The sequence below is a fragment of the Homo sapiens genome, chromosome 5 (genome assembly GCF_000001405.40).
Source record: "Homo sapiens chromosome 5, GRCh38.p14 Primary Assembly".
NCBI classification, from domain to species: Eukaryota; Metazoa; Chordata; class Mammalia; order Primates; family Hominidae; genus Homo; species Homo sapiens.
Window position 1 is genome coordinate 38,316,128 of NC_000005.10, and position 22,022 is coordinate 38,338,149.

At 42.2% G+C, this 22,022-nt stretch overlaps 1 protein-coding gene across 2 annotated transcripts in view; it reads left to right on the forward strand.

Moving 5' to 3' along the window:
- EGFLAM (EGF like, fibronectin type III and laminin G domains) overlaps positions 1-22,022 on the forward strand; it is a 206,922-nt gene that overhangs the window by 57,569 nt on the left and 127,331 nt on the right. For both annotated transcript variants that reach the window (NM_001205301.2, NM_152403.4), the window contains exon 2: positions 21,393-21,502. In NM_001205301.2, the coding sequence (NP_001192230.1) occupies positions 21,393-21,502 (110 nt within the window). The remainder of the gene's footprint in view (positions 1-21,392; positions 21,503-22,022) is intronic.

A 22,022-nucleotide genomic window follows, 5' to 3' on the forward strand; every position in this document is an offset into this window, starting at 1 on the left:
TGATATTTTTATTTAATTTTATTACTAGTATAGCCCATGGGGTGCCTCCTGTTCTTTGGTTGGTTGGTTGCTTGGTTTGCTTGGACCCCTATTTCAGGGCTCAGAGCAACCCCAGGCTCTCTCTAGGATTCTGATTGAACATTTTACCTCTTTGGAGTGTGATTCTTCACCAGCTCCAGTCCCCATGACTGTGTCATTTCCATCCTAACCAGATGCAAACATGAAGCTCCATGTGTTACTCCCCAAGGGCCCCAGGCTCTGGAGTGGTCCTGGCTCATGGTCTGTCTGGATTACCTTGGAATAGCTACTTAACTTCTCTGTTTCTCAGATTCCTCACTCCTAAAATAGGACAATAATAGTGCCTGCCTAGTAGAGTTGTTGTGAGGATTGATGAGTTAACATATCCAAAGCTCCAAGAACTGCTACTGACATTAGTGAATACATTTTAGCTATGATGATTCTTCATTCCCCCATTTTTGTGATTTTGGCAATTTTTGTTAAAGATTCTGCATCTCTTCCATACTATGGGCTCAATTCCATGACACTCCACTGCCTTCCAAAGCCCATGTGCTCACAGCATGCCCCTCAGTGCACCCTGAACACCCCTGGGACACGAGTTCCAACTCAGCTGTTTCCACTACTTCTCTTCTGGAGAATAACCTTGCCAGGCCAGTCTGCTCCTCAACCTCAAATCTGAGGAAATAAAATTTCTCAGTTTTCCTGTCACTTTTTTGAGTTCTTACCAAGAAAAAATGATAGCAAGAGACTTGCTGCTTTGGGCCAAGGACAGAATGAGCAGGATGAGTGGTTGATGTGACTTCTGCCAGCAATTACTGCCCCATGTGGTAGTCTGCTTGCTTCCGGCAATGTTCCGGTGTCCATTCTATCACGTGATCCTGGAAGTAATTGGAAACATCTGTTGTGAAGTCAGAGAGACCCACGGTCAAATCCTGACTTCTTGCACACGGATGCAGCAAGATCACTTTCTATGATCTTGAACATGTCAAAAAAATATCTGTTTTCTGTTTCCTCATTTGAAAAATGGATTTACTGATACCTACCTTGCAGAGCTCTTGAAAGAATTAAAAAGAGTAACTTATATAATGTTGCATGCAGCTGAGAAGGCAGAGATCCGCAATTCAGCTGGGTATCATCTTGTTAAGCCATGAGATGTTGAGACCGAAACTGCCCAGGAGGGAGTAGGGCAGGGAAAGGGTGAAGATGGGATGGAGGGTTGGAAGCAGGTTACATCCTCTCACCATGCCTTGTGCCTGGCCTTGGAGTCTATGTCTGCCAGGAAGGGGAATCTTTTTTTCTGTTTTCCAAATTGTGCCCTGTAGGTCTGGGGGCAGCGGACTGTCTTTGTAAAATGCCAAAGAATGCCAAGCTTAGAGATGGTGGCCAATAAATTATAGCTGTTATCATCCCTAGCAAGTTCATATCCCAGAACCATGAGTCTAAGTTTCCAGCTTTTTGGGAAAAGGGATGTGGTTGGTTTGTTTTCCATTTAAAAATGATTATTGATCTCTATTCTTTGAAAGACAGGAAATGTCAACCCTTTTGTACTACATACAAAGTTGTGTGGCTTATTAAATTATTAAACCCCATCTTCTTCTAACCCAATGGCTTTACAGGTAGGACCCACAGGTGAAGACTTGGCAAAATGTTTCAAGCTTCGATCAGGAGAATTGCAGAGGCCAGATTCTGGCCCAGTATGAGGGTAAGGGGGAAGTTGCTTCCTAAGGCAGGTGTAGATTAGACAGCTCCTCACCAGATGTGCTGCCTTATGTGCTGGAGGCCAGTGTTGGCAGGAGGAAACCGGAGAGAAACCTGATCCTGAGAATGAGAGAAAGAAGGAAAGGTGTTCTCACCCATGAGTTAATGCAGTTGTTCAATGGCTGTGAGCGGGCACTTGGGGAAGATACCAGGTTTCTGTTATTGATTTTCAGGACTTGGGACAGTTCTGCTCCCCTCGCCTGGGTAAATGGGCCCTGCCTCATGGAAGAGAGTCTCCTGCTGGGATTGTGGTGATGAAAGAAAGAGGACCCTCATTTTTTTCAGTTGTTTTATTTTGGATTAATTTTAGACTTATTAATTTTAGACTTAAAGGAGAGTTATGGTGATAGTATAGTATACTATAGTATACTATCTAACTATAGTATACTGTACTAACTATAGATAGAATAATATATTATACTATCTGACTATAGTATACTAACTGTAGATAGTATACTATACTAACTATATAGTGTAGTTATATACTATATATATAACTAGATAGCTAGATAGTATAGTATATGCTATATATACTATAGTATACTAGTATAGTATCTAACTAGTTAGCTATATAGTATACTATACTCTCTATACTATCTAGTATACTATACTATAGTAACTCTCCTATAAGTCTAAAATTATTCAAACACCAGAGGCTGGGTACAGTGGCTCATGCCTGTAATCCCTTCCACCTCCCAGGTTCAAGCGATTCACCTGCCTCAGCCTCCCGAGTAGCTGGGATTACAGGCACCCACCATGCCTGGCTAATTTTTGTGTTTTTAGTAAAGACGGCATTTCACCATATTGGCCAGGCTGGCTCGAACTCCTGACCTCAGGTGATCTACCCGCATCGGCCTCCCAAAGTGTCAGGATTACAGGCATGAGCCACCATGCTTGCCCTCTGGTGTTTTAATGTGATTCTCTCTTTCCTCAGGAAAGACCCTCAGCGTGGTCACAATAACTCGAAAAAGCCACTCATCTAGCAGTGAGCCAGAGGAATTCTAGAAAGGGCTGCTTTCTGAGAGAATAAACCATGGTTCCTGAGGTTATCTGAGAGAACTTTCTAGAAGGCTGGTTGGAGATGTTATAGTCCATAGTCCTCACTAGGCGTTCCTATGTGGTCATGCTCCAGGCTCATGAGATGGTGAGAATTCATATTAGGGGTAAATATCACCTTGGCTTTTCCCCAGTTGTTCCTCCACACCTTCTTTGGAAAGGTGACCTTGTTCCAGTGCCCTGTCTCCTTCAGCAGACCCCCAACTCCCAGGGTTCTCTGGAGTGAGACATTCTCTTTAGACCTTCAGACTGGGGATGACTGGAACCTGAGCCTGGTCCCAACCAAGACAGGGGTCTGATGTGGAGAGATGACCCCATGCTTGACCCCCTGATTTCTTTTCCCTAGTGGTCTTTGTACCTAGAAGAGAAAATTCAGGTTGAGAGATGCCAGCACAGGTTGATGGGAGGCTGGATACAGTCACAGCAGTAGGGCTAGAAGGAGGACAGGGATTTATTCAGTCAGCCATTTAGTCAATCAGGCAGCAAATACTTATGGAATGCTTATTCAGGGTCGGAAACTGTTGTAGGTGCCAGGAATAAAGAGCGAACACAAAAGTCCCTGCCCTCATGGAGTTGACATTCTACGGGCTATTGGGGGCAACATGGAGAGTCATATCTGGAACACAGAGAGAGGAGGTGTGAACAACACTCCCGGATTTCAGGAGTATGGGGAATGTGGGAGGAGATGGAGATCTGAATGGGGAAGATGATGGGTTCCATCTGGAATGCTTGGCATTTGGGGTGTTTGTTAGCCATCAAGGCTGAAGTATCCAGTTAGATATGCAGAGCATACTTGAAAAGACACATTTAGCAGGTGCCTGGGAACACTATACAAATGGGTGAGATCACCTGGCAGAAAGGGACTCACAGTGGGGCTCAGGCAGGAGCAGGGGCATGTCAGGGCCACCTCAGGAGCTTCTTTAAACTCCATGAAACAGTGCTCTTGACTCAGACATTTAGAGATTGGAAACACTGCCTAGGGGCATCCTCTCCAATTAGGAATTACTGCCATTGAGGTGTCTCCTAAGAGGCTGTCTATGTTGAAGCAACAAGACTTGGGGGTTACTGTATGGATGGAGAACAGGGCCCAGTTAAAATTGGAAGCCATCATGGCAGCGTAAAATTTGGAAGAACATGCTAGGTGGTAGAAAGCACCTGGCTAGGGACTCAATAAATCGAGGTCTTCATTCCAGTTCCTCCCTAACTACTGTTGCCTCACACAAGACACTAGCTTCTCTGAGTTTTAATTTTCCCATCATTAAAATCTGATATTAGACTACACCACTGGTTCAAGAGGCAGCAGTATCAGCATCTCCTCAGAACTTTTTAGAAATGCAAATTCTTGGGACCTCTTCCTGACTTAGTGAAATTAGAAACAGGGTGGGGTCCAGCAGGCAGTTAGTACAAGTCTTTCAGGTGATTCTGATGCTTCCAAAAGAAGCTTGAGAACCACTGGCTTAGATGAATTTGAAACTCCCTGCTAGCATTAAAGCTTCTACACCATAATCTTGTTCAGATGCTTTTGTCAGGTTTCATAGTCTGTGCTTCTTTGTCCTCCTCCAATTGTTAAATGATTGTAAGTCAGTTTCTCCTTGAGGTGGGAGGATGTGTGTGTTGTGCGTATGCCTGTGTATATGTGTGTCTGCATGTGTGCATATGCTTACGTGTGTGTGTGTATATGTGTGGTGATGGGAGGTTGGTGGGTGGAGATGCATAGCTTTCCTGCTTGCCTTCTTAGATGATGTAAGACAGCGGTCCCCAACCTGGGACCCCTCTGGGAGTTGGGGGTCTGCTAAAGGAGACAGGGCTCTGGAGCAAGGTCACCTTTCCAAACAAGGTGTGGAGGAACCACCGGGGAAAGGCCAAGGTGATATTTACCCCTAATATGAATTCTTACCATCTCATGGGCCTGGAGCATGACCACATAGGAACTCCTAGTAAGGACTGTGGACTATAACATCTGCAACAACCCTTCTAGAAAGTTCCCCGACCTTTTTGACACCAGGGGCTGGTTTCCTGGAAGACAGTTTTTTTCCATGGATGAGGGTGGGAGGTGGGATGATTCCAGCATGTTGCAATTATTATGTACTTTATTTCTATTATTATTACATTGTAATATATAATGAAGTAATTATTTCTTATACAACTTACCATAGTGTAGAATCAGTGGGAGCCCTGAGTTTGTTTTCCTACAACTAGACAGTCCCATCTGGGGGTGATGGGAGAAAGTGACAGATCATCAGGCATTAGATTCTCATAAGGAGTGCACAACCTAGATTCCTTACATGCACAGTTCACAATAGGGTTCGTGCTCCTATGAGAATCTAATGCTGCTGATCTGACAGGAGGCGGAACTCAGGCAGTAATGCTAGTAATGGGGACTGACTGTAAATACAGACGAAGCTTGGCTCACTCACCCACCACTCAACTCCTGCTGTGTGTTGCCCGGTTCCTAAAAGGCCACAGAACAGTACTGATCCATGGCCCCTGTGATGTAAGAAGTGAGCTTGAGTTGGTGACAGAAACAGGTCACACTGTGCAGGCTCCCACACAGAGTAGGTACTTGGAAGTGGTTTTGCGCCTTTACCTTCTCTAACATAACTGCATTGACTGACTCTAGTAGGTTGTCAACTCTTTGGTGCTGCCACTGTCTCCAGCGGCTCTTGATCTGTGGCATCTGTGCTCCCCTGGGATTTCCAACTGAGTCTAAACAGGAACCACTGCTAGAGGCTTTCAGCATGGATTGCTCTCTGCCAGAAGTCAACACTTGGGCCAGAAGAATCCGTCGTGAGATCCATTTACAACCCAGCTGAGCCCAGTTTGTGAAGCAGCGTGACACTCAGAGGTGCAGACCTACCCCTGACACTGGTGCATGGAGCACAAGAGTTCCCATAGAAGCCCACGTACATTTGTCTTAAAAACCTACAAGTCGTTAAATAGGCTAACAAATTATTAGACACAATATTTTCTCTCCTTCTAACCTGACAAATATATAGTACACTTTCATAATGACCAGAAAGAGCAGGTTCAAATTCCAATTTCTCAGACTCCTTGAATATCCACTTCAAGAGGAGGCAACTTCTATTTCTACTTGAAGAGAACTGCCCCGCCGAGCCCTGGTCTGCCCCAGGCCTCACCCTGTCCCTCCCTGAAGGATGTTCATATGCACACGCATGGACACCTGCCCATAACCCTAGCTAGTGCTGTCCACTGCCCGTCCTGGAGCACAGCAACCCGTTGGCCACCCTTTTGCCTGAGGGCCCACATGGCTAGCAGCACAGTTCACCCTCAGAAGGACACGCCCAGGGACAAGGCCACTGAGGACCAGGAAAAGGGCTCGGGACTCTCTGGGCAGGGAATTCCAGGGTCATGAGTACCCAAGGAGTGGATGGAGCACAGGCTTTCCATAGGAATGTCCTTTTGGCTTGGGACTCCACACTCCGCTCATGGGGAGAGGTGTGGCTAGAGGAGGATCCAAACTGGTCCTTCTAAAACAGGGCCCACGTTTGCCTGGGTCTGAGGGAGCACTGCCCTGAGGAGCTGTTCCAAGTGGCTGTCTTTCCTGCTCACTGCTAGTACTCTGCAGATACTTCCCCATGAAGTATTTAGGGAGGAACTCTAATTTATGATCATCTAATCCAGTGCATTGACTAGGACATGAGGAAACCGAAGCACTCCACAAAGGTAGATTACTCCCTGGAATTACACTTGGGAATGATGGATTACTCCCTGGAATTACACTCGGGAATGATGGATTACTCTCTGGAGTGGCAAACTACTCTTTGGAATTGCACTCTGGCATGATGAATTTCAAAGGGAAGCATGATTGTGATGTGTAGGGTAACTGCTCCACAGAGAAAAGCCAGCAGGGATCTGGAAAACTCTTCCTGCTGCTCCTTAGTGACTGGCAACTTCTTTAATCCACAGGTAACTAGAACAAACACTGTTCTGTGTCTTAAACCCACATTTTCACTGCTGCCTTGAGGGCATCACCTTGGAAGTAGCTCCAGTGGCCACTTTTTTTTGGGTTACACATTCATAGTGCTGCTTTAATAATAATAGTTGGAACAAGTTTCAAACAGATGGAAATATGGTTTTTGTTTTCCTATTCGGAATTTTCTGACTATTTTTAGTTAGTCTGGGCATTCTCTATTGCATCAGTGAATGTAACTTGGTTCTTTCTGTGAAAATCAAATAACTAAAAAGCTAGCAATGTATTTCTGTCACAGATGATATTTTTGTTTGCATTTTGAAGTGTTTTTATGAATTGGATTACAAAACTAATTGAATCAGAGATGAATTTCGCTCAGAATTTGAAGTATTTTATGAAATAAAATTTCTATAAGAAATTGACCTAATTATTCAGAAGTTTCTAATGCAACAGCCTAATACAGTTTTGAAAGTCCTCCAGAGAAAAAAGCTCAAGCATACTCTCCCTCATAGCAAAGAAGCACCCTTTTTATTTACTTATCTCTTAAGCAGTATAGCTTCTAGTTTACAGGAACACAGCTTCAGGGCATATTGTATAGATGCATTATTTTAGTTTCAAATGCTATGTTTCTTCAAAACTAGTTTTCTATTATGTACCATATTTTTCCATCATTTGTAACCGTTATTGGTGAAACAAGTGTTATTTTTATATTTAACTGCTTAATATTGCTTGTCTCACACATAAGTGGCCTACTACTTAGATTTTTTTTAATATTGAGGAAGCACTAGCATGTTTCTATGTAACAGATAAGATCCCACAAGACTTCAGAATTATAACCATTATAAAAAAAAAATTTGTTTCATTAAGAGTTTTTTCGGCCAGGCACAGTGGCTCATGTCTGTAATCGTAGCACTTTGGGAGGCCAAGGTGGGCGGATCACTTGAGGTCAGGAGTTTGAGATCAGCCTGGCCAATATGGTGAAACGTCATCTCTAGTAAAAAGTTAAGCTGGCGTGGTGGTGCATGCCTGTAATCCCAGCTATTCTGGAGCCTGAGGCAGGAGAATCACTTGAACCCAGGAGGCGGAGGTTGCAGTGAACTGAGATCGTGCCACTACTCTAGCGTGCATGACAGAATGAAACTCCATCTCAAACAAAAAAAAAAAAAAAAAAAAGCTTTACTTGCCCTAGCCAAAGCTTTCCCTGATGATTCAGACATTGCAGAGATGTGAGGAAAGCCTTGGGTGGTTTCCCTCTTATGTTTCTCTCTGGTGGCTGGAAGAGATTTAGAGAATTACTTTGATCTGCTCATTGCAGTTGGGACTATGTCCTAATGTCTCCACGTCTCTTATGGTGATACCAGACCATGTGCTGTGACTTTGCCTGATGGTTTCTCTGGCCTTTCTGGGTTCACCACCTTTCTGTACCTAAAACTTATCTCTAGCCCATAGGCGGTCCCACTGGAGGCTTACTCCTCCCTTTATCCTGCCCCCCTCCACACATACCCCAATAATACAATGTCTATATAATCAGTATGCTTCCTCTGTAAATACAGCTTCAGATGGGCCTGGACTGGGTCCTGCCCTGCCCTCAAGGACACTTCAAACAAATACACAAATAGAAAAATGCTGTCCTCAAAATGCAAATGTCACTTGAGAAAGCCTCTGGTACTTCCTTCTCTCTGCCATTTATAAGCCCTTCTCCACACAGGTTTTAGAGGTTCCAATCCAATGGCCCCAGCCTTTGTGCTGCACTCAACTGCTTTACAGGAAAAAAAAAAAAGTTTCATTTACAAACACACATTCTCCAAAAGAGGCTGCAGAAGCTGTGGAAAGGGAAACCGTATCTCTTAGGCTCGGGGGAAGGCAGTGGGTTCCACTGCATGCACAGCTCTGAACAGTTAATAGTGCTGCTCCAGGTCCAGGGTTGAGCAGGATTCTGAAGCTTCCCTGAAGAAGAGAGGATGGAGACAGTGTGATCAACTTGACGCTGAGGGTGACTTGCAGGTTTCTGGAAGTCATGGTGGATGGTGATGCCACCTACCAGGGTTACAGGAGGGGCTCGGGTCAAAAAGAAAGATGATGAATTCAGTTCTGTTATGTGGAATTTGAGAGGCCCAGTGTCACCTGGGTCCACCTGGCAGTTGGGTACATAGGCCTGCTCCTCTGAAGGGAAGGGCTGGGCTGGAGAAATGGGTGCGGGAGCCACAGGATATATGTGGCAATGACTGGCAGGGAAGAGGGTATAGTGGGAGCTGAGAACAGGGAATCTGGGCAGAGTCACCAGGAACATCAATGTGAAGGGGAGGGGAGAGGAAGAAATTCTCTACCTGGCTCCTCACTGTCCCATTGACAAGATCCTCATTCAACAGACTCTAGACCTCAGTTTCTTCATCTGTAAAGTGGGAATAATATCTTCCTCCACTACCTCTGGCAAACATGGTATGTTGAAGACACATACTTACTACTGGTCCCTTCAGTCCCCACTAAAATGCTTGTAAATTGGGGAGAAGAGTAGTAACCAGCAGGACAAAGGAAACAGACAAAGATGGCAGCAATAACATTTGAGAAACCGAAATGTGCATGGACAAGTGGCGACAGATTTAGCAACCAAAGAAAGATGATTTCTAGGCCAGGAGTGAGGCAAAGATCAGAAGTAGACTAAGGTTTGAGCATTGCTTTAAGATTTACAAAGGCACCTCCCTCTCTCTGTCCTCTCAAATAGATCTTTCTCTTTTTAAAGAAATACAAAATACTCTTTTTAAATAAATTCAAGTGGTAAAGATACTGGCGCACTATATGGGTAAACCATAATTTATCCATCTCTTTACTGATGAGCAGTTAGGTTATTCCAGGAAAAATAAACATGCAGATAAAAGTACATACTTCATGAGGATAAAATCCAGTAACATCAGAATGGTTGTTATCTCTGGAAGAGAGGAAGGAAGAGGAAAGAGATTCAGTATGAAATTTTAGCTGTATTTTATTTACCTTTATTTTCTTTTAAAAAAATACCTGAAAATTAAAATTATAATAATTATAGAACTACATAAATATTATGTTTACGTATATATTAATATGTTTATTTATATAAATATTACAAATATTTATTTGAGGAAGAGAAAAAACTCTTCCACTCAGTTTGTGGTGACAGGTGAGTGTGTGTGAAGACAGCCTGCTGGGAGCACTGGGCTTCCCACAGCTCCGCTCAGAACCTTCATGAGGGCTAGAGCCCTGGTCTTGGGCCTCTCTCCCCTCTCCCAGACACTGTGAGACCTGGCCCACCTTCCTGTGAGGGCCAGTGGTTGTGCCCCTCTGGCTTCCACTGCTATGATGGGGGCCCAAAGGGACATGATGGTGAGACATCATTCAGAATCAGAACTGTCCTCGAGAATCCAGGACATAGAGAGCAAAACATTTTGAAAAATCCTGTTCTAGCTGATGAGCAGCAACCGAAGTAGAGAGGAGCGAATGGCCGCCTGTTCTGTGCTCTTTATAATCAGGTCCTCCCTGATGGCACTTTGGTCACTGTCCACTGACAATTCCCTGTGTCCTTGTTCACAGCACTAACAACCTCCTTCCTGGGCACCTTCGTTTTACTGTGTCTGTTGATAAGGGTTTTTTTTTTTAAGACGGAGTCTCACTCTGTCACCCAGGCTGGAGTGCAGTGGTGCAATCTCAGCTCACTGCAAGCTCTGCCTCCCAGGTTCATGCCATTCTCCTGCCTCCTGAGTATCTGGGACTACAGGCACCTGCCACCACGCCTGGCGTTTTTTTGTATTTTTTAGTAGAGATGGGGTTTCACCATGTTAGCCAGGATGGTCTCGATCTCCTGACCTCCTGATCTGCCCAACTTGGCCTCCCAAAGTGCTGGGATTACAGGCGTGAGCCACCGCGCCTGGCCCGTAAGGGTATTTTTTTTTTTTTTTGAGACAGAGTTTTGCTCTGTCACCCAGGCTGGCGTTCAATGGCGCAATCTCGGCTCACAGCAACCTCCGCCTCCCAGGTTCAAGCGATTCTCCTGCCTCAGCCTCCCAAGTAGCTGGGATTACAGACATGCGACACCACGCCTGGCTAATTTTGTATTTTTAGTAGAGACGGGGTTTTACCATGTTGGCCAGGCTGGTTTCAAACCCCTGACCTCAGGTGATCCACCCACCTCAGCCTCCCAAACTGTTGGGATTACAGGTGTGAGCCACCGCACCTGGCCAATAAGGGTATTTTACGCGGGTATATTACCTTTTGTTATTGACAGCTAAAAGATCTGCATCATTCATCACAAACTATTTTTAGCCTTACCCTGAAATGCAGAGAAACAGACTGCAAACATGAGACAGCACCATTTGCTCCAACCCAACTGGTGCAAACTTCACGAAGCAGTGTTATTTCGCAGATTTCCTTTAGTAACCAAGGAGTGTGGTTATACCCACACCCACATGTCTTTTGATCTTTGGATGTAAAAATATTTTTGAAAGTGAACTTTTAAAATTGGGAAAACAATATAACATTCTGGAAAGCTTGCCAAATAGAAGAATATGGGAGAAAAATTGTCCTTCATCTCTGCCACCCTAATGTATCAATTAGCTTTCTTCTCTTGCCTTCAAGTTATTTTTCAAATGAACATATTAAATAACTGTAATAATAGTATTGGTGGCAATTGAGTATGCTTTTCTGTTTAATACTACATCATAATTTGCCACAGTGTCATACAAGCCTCTTTTTTTAATAGATTTTTTATTTTGAAATACATTTAGATTTATAGAAGGGTTGGGTAGTCACTAGAGAGAATGCCTATCCACCTTATACCAATTTCTCCTCATGTTAACATCTTACATAACCATGGCACATTTGTCAAATCTAAACAATGAATTAGTGATAGTACTAACTAGTGATAGTACAGTGCTGTCAACTGAACCACAGACTTTATTTAATTTTACTGGTTTTCCCACTACTGTTCTTTTTCTGCTCCAGGGTCCAATTCAAGATACCACAAGTACATATTGTGTTTATTGTGTGTATACCAGTAGATTCAGGTGATACACCATACTTGGCCTAACTACTGCCCTTTCTAAATATTTAGATTGCTTATAGTTTTTCCGTATCACACGTAGTACTGTGAAGAACATCTGCATGTGGGTAGTTGTATTAGTCCGTTCTCGCACTGCTGTAAAGATACACTCGAGATTGGGTAATTTAGAAATAGAGAAGTTTAATTGGCTCATGGTTCTGCAGGCTGTGCAAGAAGCATGGCTGGGGAGGCTCGGGAATTTCAATCATGGCAGAAGGCAAAGGGGAAAGCAGGCAATGTCTTACGTGGCCAGAGCAGGAGGAACACAGGGGGAAGTGCCTTACACTTTTATTAAAGAACCAGATCTTACGAGAACTCGCTCACTATCACGAGAACAACAAGGGAGAAATCCTTCCCCATGATCCAGTCACCTTCCACCAGGCCCTTCCTCCAACACTGGGGATTGCAATTCGACATGCGGGGACACAGATCCAAACCATATTAGTAGCCTTCTCTTCTTTTAAGATTCCTTCCTTATGGCTGCCTATAATCAGATTTCTGGAGGCCCAAGGATAAGAACGGATTTATGGCCCTGGATATCATTGCATATTGCCGCCAAAGTGTCTTCCACAATGTCTGAATACTCATTTATACTGTCACAAGCAATTTTTCGAGAGTAGTGCATTCATGTACCCTTGTCAGTGTTACTCTCGTTTTAATATTTTCGTTAATTTAATAGGTGAAAACATCTCAATTTTTGAAATGTGTATTTCTTCGGTAACTAGCAAATTTGAATATTTCCCCATGTGTGTTTACTAGCTATACTTGTTTTTTTTTTTTTTTTTTTTTGCAAATTGTCTCTTCATATTTTATTTATTAGGGTCTGAATTTTCTTATTAATATGCATAAGTTTTATAATAAAGATATCCTTTGGCCTCTCATTTTGCTGCAATTTTTTACCCCTCCATCTGTTGTTTGAATTTTTTCTTTTGTAATTTTCAAAGAGCATGATGGAAGTTTTATGATGTAGATTCCATTATTTTTTAAAAATTTATATATTTTTAGTCTCTTTTAAGCTTAGAAAGGTTCTTCCTCTAAGTCTGGTTTTAAGATCGGGCACAGTGGCTCATGCCGTAATCCCACACTTTTAGGGTCAAGGCGGGAGGATTGATTGAGCCCAGGATTTTAAGACCAGCCTGGGTAACATAGTGAGACCCTGTTTCTACAATAATAAGGAGAAGTAGTTAGCTAGATGTGGTGGCACGTGACTGTAGTCCCAGCTACTCAGTTGGCTGAGGTGAGAGGATCAACTGAGCCTGGGAGATGGAAGCTGCAGTGAGCTGAGATCACACCACTGCACTCCAGCCTGGGTGACAGAGGGAGACCCTATCTCAAAGATAAATAAATAAATAAATAAATAAATAAATAAATAAATAAATAAATTTTAAAAGTCTGATTTTTAAAATTCAATTATTTTCTATAATTTGAGATCCCATATTTAACTGATGCATCTGGAATATTTTTGTTATTGGGTCCAAGTGTCTGACTGGGCCACCTCTCACTCACCAGCTGCCGGCAACCACACCTCCAACTTCGTGGGTGGTCAAGCTGAGTCACTTCCAGCTGAGTGACTGGCATCCTCCTTCTCTGTGTTGCCCAAGCTAGAATCCTTGGAGTCACCTGATTTCCACTTTTGTTCTGTCTTTCACTACCCCCATCCACCCAGCCATGGAGTCCCAGTAGTTGTATATTCGTGGTTCGTCCCCCAGTTCTTTGGGGAAGAGTATATGCTGCTCTCTCTGCCTGGGACCCTTTTCCCATTCCCACTCTGTCTGCCTCGTTCCTATGGGTCTATTGCACAGAGCCTGGTATGTCCTTGCTATGGGCCACTAAAGTGCTCCAACTTTCCAACCCTAATTATCACACCCAATTGTAATATCCTGCTAATTTGTGTCCCTATGTCTCTCTTCATCATTAACGTAGAGACTGACAGTGCCTGGTATGTATAGGGTGCTCAATATGTTAGGTGTGTGAAAGAGCAAATAAATGAGTGAAAATGCCAATAAAATAGGAGTCATACCTAACCAGGTCCCAGCAGGGTCCGATTTAAATACTTTCCTACAGAATATGAAGGTAAAGGGGATAGCACATTACAATTCACGCTTTTTATGGGTGCCAAGAGGTCATGGATACCTTAGATTGGCTTGTTCACCTTCTGGTGACTGTTTTACCCTCCTTCTAGATGCCATTACTATAATGCAAAGGCTGGAAAAATAAAAACTACATTTTCCAGACTATCTTGTAGCCAATATTCTGGATGTCAATATTCTGGATGTCAATTAGGTCTCACCAATTGGATATACTCTTGAGAGACAGGGAAGGCCGGAGTGAGGTGGAGGCCATTTTCCTGCTGCTATTTCTCCAGCCAAGCAAGGCCATCAAAACATGAGAACTCATCATTCCAGGACCCATCGCCAGTCTTGCGGGTGTCTGGAAGCAGTTGTGGCAGCAGTAATGCCAGTAGTGGGGGTGAAGGCAGAGGCTTCCTGGTTCTGAATCATCACTATAGCATTCTCTCATTCATTCTCTCTCTCCCTGTCTCTCTCTAATAGAGCCATTGGAGACTCCTGAATTAATTTCTTCAGTCTTTCTACCAATTTCCATAACCCCATCTTCCTGTTTAAAATACCTAGAGCGTTTCTATTTTCTGTACTGAACCACTGCAGATACACAAGGGATACAAGAACTGGTTCCCCTGTTAGTGACCCAAGGAGCCTGCCTTGATCACTTGCAATTTTTCCCAGAGCAAAGGAAGCAAGAAATATTCCTAAGACTATGGGTGAGGCTGTGCTTACTGGTTATTTTATGGTTCTACAAGGGACTGATAAATCATTTCCATTATCTTTCTCCCCCACTTTTCAGCCACCTTTAAGACTATGTTAGAATAGGCCTCTTCGCTTAGCAATAAATGTGGCCAGTACTGGATAATTACACAGGGGGAAGCAAACATAAAACTACCTAGAGAAAATATAGGTGAATAATTCAGATCTTTCACAAATTAAGGGTACTTACAGATCAGTGAGAAAAAAACTAAAACCCGATTAAATATGTGCAAAATACTTGAAAATAGGAAGAAAAATAGCCAAAAAAAGATGCTAAAATATTTAACCTATTTTTTATCAAATTTGCCAAGGTTTTAAAAGACTATTTAGAGTTTCAAATTCATAGTAAAATTAAGAGGAAGGTAGAGAGATTTCCCATATACTCCCTGTCCCCATGCATGCATAGACTCCCCCGTCATCAGCATCCCCTATCAGAGTGGTACATTTGTTGGTGAACCTACATTGACACATCATTCTCACCCAAAGGCCATAGTTTACATTAGGGTTCACTTTTTCTGTTGTACATTCTATGGGTTTAAACAAATGTATGACATGTATCTACCATTATGGTATCATATAGAATAGTTTCACTGCCCTAAGAACCCTCTGAACTCTGCCTATTCATCCCTTGCTCTCTCCTAATACCTGGCAACCACTGGTCTTTTTTACTGTTTCCTTTTCCAGAATGTCATAGAGTTAGAATCATACAGTATGTAGCCTCTTCAGATTGGCTTCTTTCACTTAGGAATACCCACTGAAGTTTCCTCGATGTGGAAACTTTGAGGATTGAGACTATGGATGAGGCTGTGCTTACTGGTTATTTTATGGTTCTATTTTATGGGACTGATATATCATTTCCATTATCTCTATTTCCACTTTTCAGCCACCTTTAAGACTATGTTAGAATAGGCCTCTTCACTTAGCCTATTCTAAGGCTAAGTGAAGGAAAAAGGAAAAGCTTCCTTTTCGTGGCTTGATAGCTCATTTCTTTTTAGCACTGAATAATACTCTGTTGTCTGGAAGTACCACAATTTATTTATCCATTCACCTACTATAGAACTTCTTGTTTACTTCCAAGTTTTGGCAATTATGAATAAAGCTGCTGTATATATCCATGTGCAGTTTTTTGTGTGGACGTAAGTTTTTGACTCCTTTGGGTAAATACTAACGAGTGCACATGCCAGTGGTATGATGAGCATGTTTGATTTTGTAAGAAACTGCCAAACTGCCTTCCAAAGGGGCTGTACCATTTTGCATTCCCACCAGTGATGAATGAGAGTCCTGTTGCTCCACATCCTTGCCAAAATTTTGTGTTGTCAGTGCTCTGGATTTTGGCCATTCTAACAGGCATACAGGGATGGTATCTCATTGGTGTTATAATTTGCATTTCCCTGATGACGTATGATGTGGAGCATGTTTTCATATGCTTACTTGCCATTGTGGTATCTTTTTTGGTGAGATGTCTGTTAAGGTCTTGGTCCATCTTTCTTTTTTGGTTTGTTTTCTTTTTTTATTTTTATTTTAGGTTTGGGGGTACATGTGAAGGTTTGTTACATAGGTAAATACATGCCATGGGAGTTTGTTGTACATATTATTACCTGACCCAGGTATTAAGCCCAGTACCCAGAAAAGTTATATTTTTACTCATCTCCCTCCACCCACTCTCCCCCATCAAGTAGACCCCAGTGCCGAGACCAGCTTGGTTGGGGAGACCCTAACCCAGCAGCGCTAGATGAATTAAATACACGCACACAGAAGTATAGCGTGTGGAGTGGGAAATCAGGGGACTCACAGCCTTCAGAGCTGAAAGCCCCAAACAGAGATTTACCCACATATTTACTGACAGCAAGCCAGTGATAAGCATTATTTCTATAGATTATAGATTAACTGAAAGTGTTCCTTATGGGAAACAAAGGGATGGGCCAAAATAAAGGGATGGGTTGGGCTAGTTATCTGCAGCAGGAGCATGTCCTTAAGACACAGATCACTCATGCTATTGTTTGTGGTTCAGGAGTGCCTTTAAGCGGTTTTCCACCCTGGGTGGGCCAGGTGTTCCTTGCCCTCATTCCGGTAAACCCACAACCTTCAGTGTGCGCGTCATAGCCATCATGAACATGTCACAGTGCTACAGAGATTTTGTTTATGGCCGGTTTTGGGGCCAGTTTATGGCCAGATTTGGAGGCCTGTTCCCAACACCCCAGCGTCTGTTGTTTCCTTCTTTGTGTTCATAAGTTCTTATTATTCAGCTCCCACTTATAAGTGAGAACATAGGGTAGTTGGTTTTCTGTTCCTGCATTAGTTTGCTCAGGATGATATCCTCCAGCTCCATTCATGTTCCCACAAAAGACATGATCTCTTTCTTTCTATGGCTGCATAATATTCCATGGTGTATAGGTACCACATTTTCTTTATCCAGTCTGTCATTGATGGGCATTTAGGTTGATTCCACATCTTTGCTATTGCCAACAGTGCTGCAATGAACATTCACATGCATGTGTCTTTATGGTAGAATGCTTTATATTCCTCTGGGTGTATATCCAGTAATGGGATTGCTGGGTCGAATGGTACTTCTGCTTTTAGCTCTTCGAGGAATTGCCATACTGCTTTTCACAATGATTAAGCTAATTTATACTCCCACCAACAGCGTATAAGAGTTCCCTTTTCTCCACAATCTTGAAAGCATCTGTTATTTTTTGACTTTTTAATAATAGCCATTCTGACTGGTGTGAGACGGTATCTCATTATGGTTTTGATTTGCATTTTTCTAATGATCAGTGATGTTGAGCTTTTTTTCATATGCTTGTTGGTCGCATGTGTGTTTTCTTTTGAGATGTGTGTTCGTGTCCTTTGCCCACTTTTTAATAGGGTTGTTTATTTTTCTCTTGTAAATTTGTTTAAGTTCCCTACAAATGCTGGATGTTAGACCTTTGTCAGATGCATAGACTGCAAATATTTTCTCCCACTCTGTAGGTTGTCTGTTTACTCTGTTGATAGTTTCTTTTGCTGTGCAGAAGCTCTTAAGTTTAATGAGATTCCATTTGTCAATTTTTGCTTTTGTTGTGATTGCTTTTGGTGTCTTTGTCATGAAATCTTTTGGTCCACTTTTCACTCATTGTCTGTTTATTTTTATTGTTGAGGGTTTTTTTTTTTTTTTTTTTTTTTTGAGATGGAGTTTTGCTCTTTTCACCTAGGCTGGAATGCAGTGGTGAGATCTCATCTCATTGCAACCTCCGCCTCCTGGGTTCAAGCGATTCTCCTGCTTCAGCCTCCCAAGTAGCTGGGATTACAGACTCCTGCCACCACGCCCAGCTAATTTTTGTATCTTTAGTAGAGATGGGGTTTTGCCATGTTGGCCAGGCTAGTCTCGAACTCCTGACCTCAGGTGATCCACCTGCCTTGACCTCCCAAAGTGCTGGGATTACAGGCGTGAGCCACCATGCCCGGCCTGTTGAGTTTTAAGAGTTCTTTGTTATCTTAGTTTGTTTGGCTGCTATATCAAAATACTATAGATTGGGTGGCTTATAAACAAGAGAAATCTATTTTTCACAGTTCTGGAGGCAGACAAGTCTAAGACCAAGGCACCAACAGATTTGGTGTCTGGTGAAGGCTCACTTTCTGGCCCATAGACAGCTGTCTTCTTGCTGTGTCTTCACATAGCAGAAGGGGAGGGGGAGCTCTCTAGGATATCTTTTGGGGAACTAATCCTGTTCATGAGGGCTCTACCCTCATGACTTAATCACCTCCCAAAGGCCACATCTACAAATATGATTACATTAGGAATTAGAGTTTAACATATGAATTTTGGAAGGACACAAATGTTTTCTCTATAGCATTTGCATATTTTGGATAACAGACCTTTATCAGATATTTCTTTTGCAAATATTTTCTCCTAGTCTGTGGCTTTTTAAACAAATTTTTTCATTCTCTGAGCAAAAATTCTTTAAAAAGTGGTAGTAGTAAGAGCTGGTGGGGCTGTGTTACTTTATACTGTTACTTATACATCTCATGTACACCACTATAAACTTCTAAATTGGTTAATTTTCTAAATGTAAGTTTGATGATATTTATTAGAAATCTTTAAAATATTCATTCCCTTAAATCAACGGTTCTCAACGGGGAGCAGTTTTGCCCCTTGGGGAGCATTTGGTAATGTGTGGACATGTTACTAGTTTTCACGACGGGTTGGGGAGTACTACTGTCATTTAGTGGGTAGAGACCAGGGATGCTGCTCAACATCCTGTAATGCAAAAGGGCAGCCCCCACAAAAACTAGGCAGCCCCAAATGTCAATAGTGTCAAGGTCGAGATACCATCTTGGACACAAGAGCTCTGTTTTAAGAATTTACCCAAATAAATAATTGAATGCACCTAAAGATTTATGCATTTACTCTTTTGGGGAGAGCAATAAGTCATCAGTAGTAAAAATGAAAATGTATGTACTCGATAAATTTTATAGGTATCCATCCTAGAAACACTGGCACATGTGTGCAAAAAGGCACAGATATAGATGTTCTTTTCAGCATTATTTTTACCAGCGATATTTTGATAATAACTGCAATGTCAATCAATGGAGTAATAGTTAATGTACATGCGTGCTCTGAAAAGCAGAGTTTTGGCCATCCAACTTCCCACTACTCTTTTCTATGATCCTATCCTCCTGTGGGGTTCCTTCTTTACTGTGGATGGGCTTGGTGGAAGAACAATTCCCAGAACTCGTCTCATCCTGTGATTTCCCAGTTTAGAAACCAGAAAGGACTGATCCTTCCTCTACTGCCTCTTGGTTGAGCCAAGAGGAAGCCACATGGCCTAAGTCTAGCCAATCAGATGAGACATTAAATCTGGAACAGATTTAATGGCAGAGTCAGAGAGATCATTAAGAATTAAATCTCTGAGTGGTGACAATCGTAGGTGTATATGGGGCAGAGGGGAGCTGACTTTTGACCTCATGGTTCCTGCTGACAGCACTGGGCTTCTATCACTTGATCCACTAGAAAAACTTTGGGTTCTGTTATTAAAAACATTGATGACAAGCCCTAGAAGCAGTCCATTAAATAGATACATTAGATCTCTGTGAGTTGCAAAGTATCCTAACTGATATGCTGGAGAATTACATGCAATAGTTAAAAAGAAATCTCACCAGGACATATTAGTAAGTGGAAAATCAAGTTGCAGAATGTTCATTCACTTAAGGAATGTTTATTGTGCTTTTACCATTACTCGTTTCTGTACTCTGAACAAGATAGACCTGGTCCCTGCCCTCATGGAGCATTACTTAAGATAGCAAAATATTGGGAATAAATTGCCTAGCAATAGCGGGATGACAAATGCTGTTTATTATGGCACATGTGTTATATGGAAAAATTTACAGCCGTTAAAAATAATGATTTTAATGATTGTAAATATGCTATTTGTACTATATATATACTAAGTGAAATAAGACTTAAAATTATTAACATGTATGTATATATACATAATCACTATATATAACAAAACAATTTAAAAATTACATACACATGGCTGGGTGCGGTGGCTCACGCCTGTAATCCCAGCACTTTGGGAGGCCAAGGCGGGCAGGTCACAAGGTCAGGAGATCGAGACCATCTTGGCTAACACAGTGAAACCCCGTCTCTACTAGAAAATACAAAAGATTAGCCGGGCATGGTGGCGAGCTCCTGTAGTCCCAGCTACTCCGGAGGCTGAGGCAGGAGAATGGCGTGAACCCGGGAGGCGGGGCTTGCAGTGAGCCGAGATGGCGCCTCTGTACTCCAGCCTGGGCGACAGAGTGAGACTCCGTACACACACACACACACACACACACACACAGACACACAGACACACACAAAGCTGAGCTTCCCAAATCCAAAAATCTGAAACCCTAAATGCTCCAGAATCCAACTTTTTGAGCACCAATATGACGCTCAAGGGAACTGCCCATTGAAGCATTTTGGATTTGAGATGCTCAACAGCTAAGTATATTGCAAATATTCCAAAATCCAAAAAAATCTGAAATTTCAGATAAGGGATGTCAACTGTATAGAAACACACACACGTACACACACACACAAACACTTTTTTTTAAATTGCATGTGACCAACAAGAGATATACCACAATGCTAACAAGACTCATTTCTGAATGTTAGAATTAGAGATAATTTTTTATGTTTTCTAAATTGTGGCAACCTGTATATATTATTTGATGATTATAAATCTTATCATCTGTAACTATGAAGTTACTTAAGATAGATAGTAAAGCATTTGAAATTTTTAAACTTCATTTTATACATAACTATATTTTTTAAATGTCCCACAATAGGAATATCCTAGCTATATAAGCAAACACATCTATGTAATGTATACATAAAACATATATGCTATTGAGTAAATACAAATGTGCCTGTCATCTTACTTTAATACATTTAAAACTTTTAGAGTCAAGTCAGAAGTGTTTGTGGTCTATGCTACCCTGAATCTCCCTTTGCTGGTCCCTGACCTATTAGAAGTTACCCGAGAGAATAAGGGCAATAGTTGGACTGATTTATCTACTGATGCCAGGTTGGGAAGGGATAGCAAAGTGAGTGAGGTCAGCTGAGATAGGTGTGGTGTATCAGAAATTGACTGCATTTCTGGAATTATCTTTAAGTATGCTTTTCATCTGTTAGATAATGCACTCTTAAATCTTGTGTAAGTATACTCAAGGTGGGATGTGTGGAGCCTCTAACACAATCTCTTTTGTTTGGGGGCAGGCAAGGTAGGGCCTCCTCTTGACATCAAGCTGGGCGCATTGAACTGTACGGCTTTCAGCATCCAGTGGAAAATGCCAAGGCATCCTGGAAGTCCCATCCTTGGGTACACTGTGAGTACACGGGCATGGGAGTTTCCTCGGTGGGTGTGTCGTGTGACTGTATGTCTTTCTCATCCTTGCTTTTTCTAGATATCTGTCCTTCCATATCAATAACTGCCCCATTCTCCCTCCATAAAGCTAGAAGAAATGTCCCGCTTTGGAGGGTATTTGTAAATGCCCTGAATGTCACATCACATCTGCATTACTCACTTAGGATCTATCCAGTCCTTCCTCTGTTCAGCTGTGGGAAAATATAAACTAAAAGGACATGGTTTTTGCTATTCAGTTGCCTATAGTCAAATCTGGAGAATAAAGTAGGAACACGGGAAACAGGAAATCACTGTGGAATGTTGTCAACAAGTACAAAATAATGTAAAGTAAGAAGGTGGGGAGGCAAAATGGAGGAAGCACCAGAGAATGCATTCTTATCTATCAGAGGCTGCAAGTTGGGCTGATATCATTTCACCAAAATGTTTTCTTTGAATAGTGTTTTTAGAAATGAGTCAACTTTGAGAAGTCAAGACATTTCACA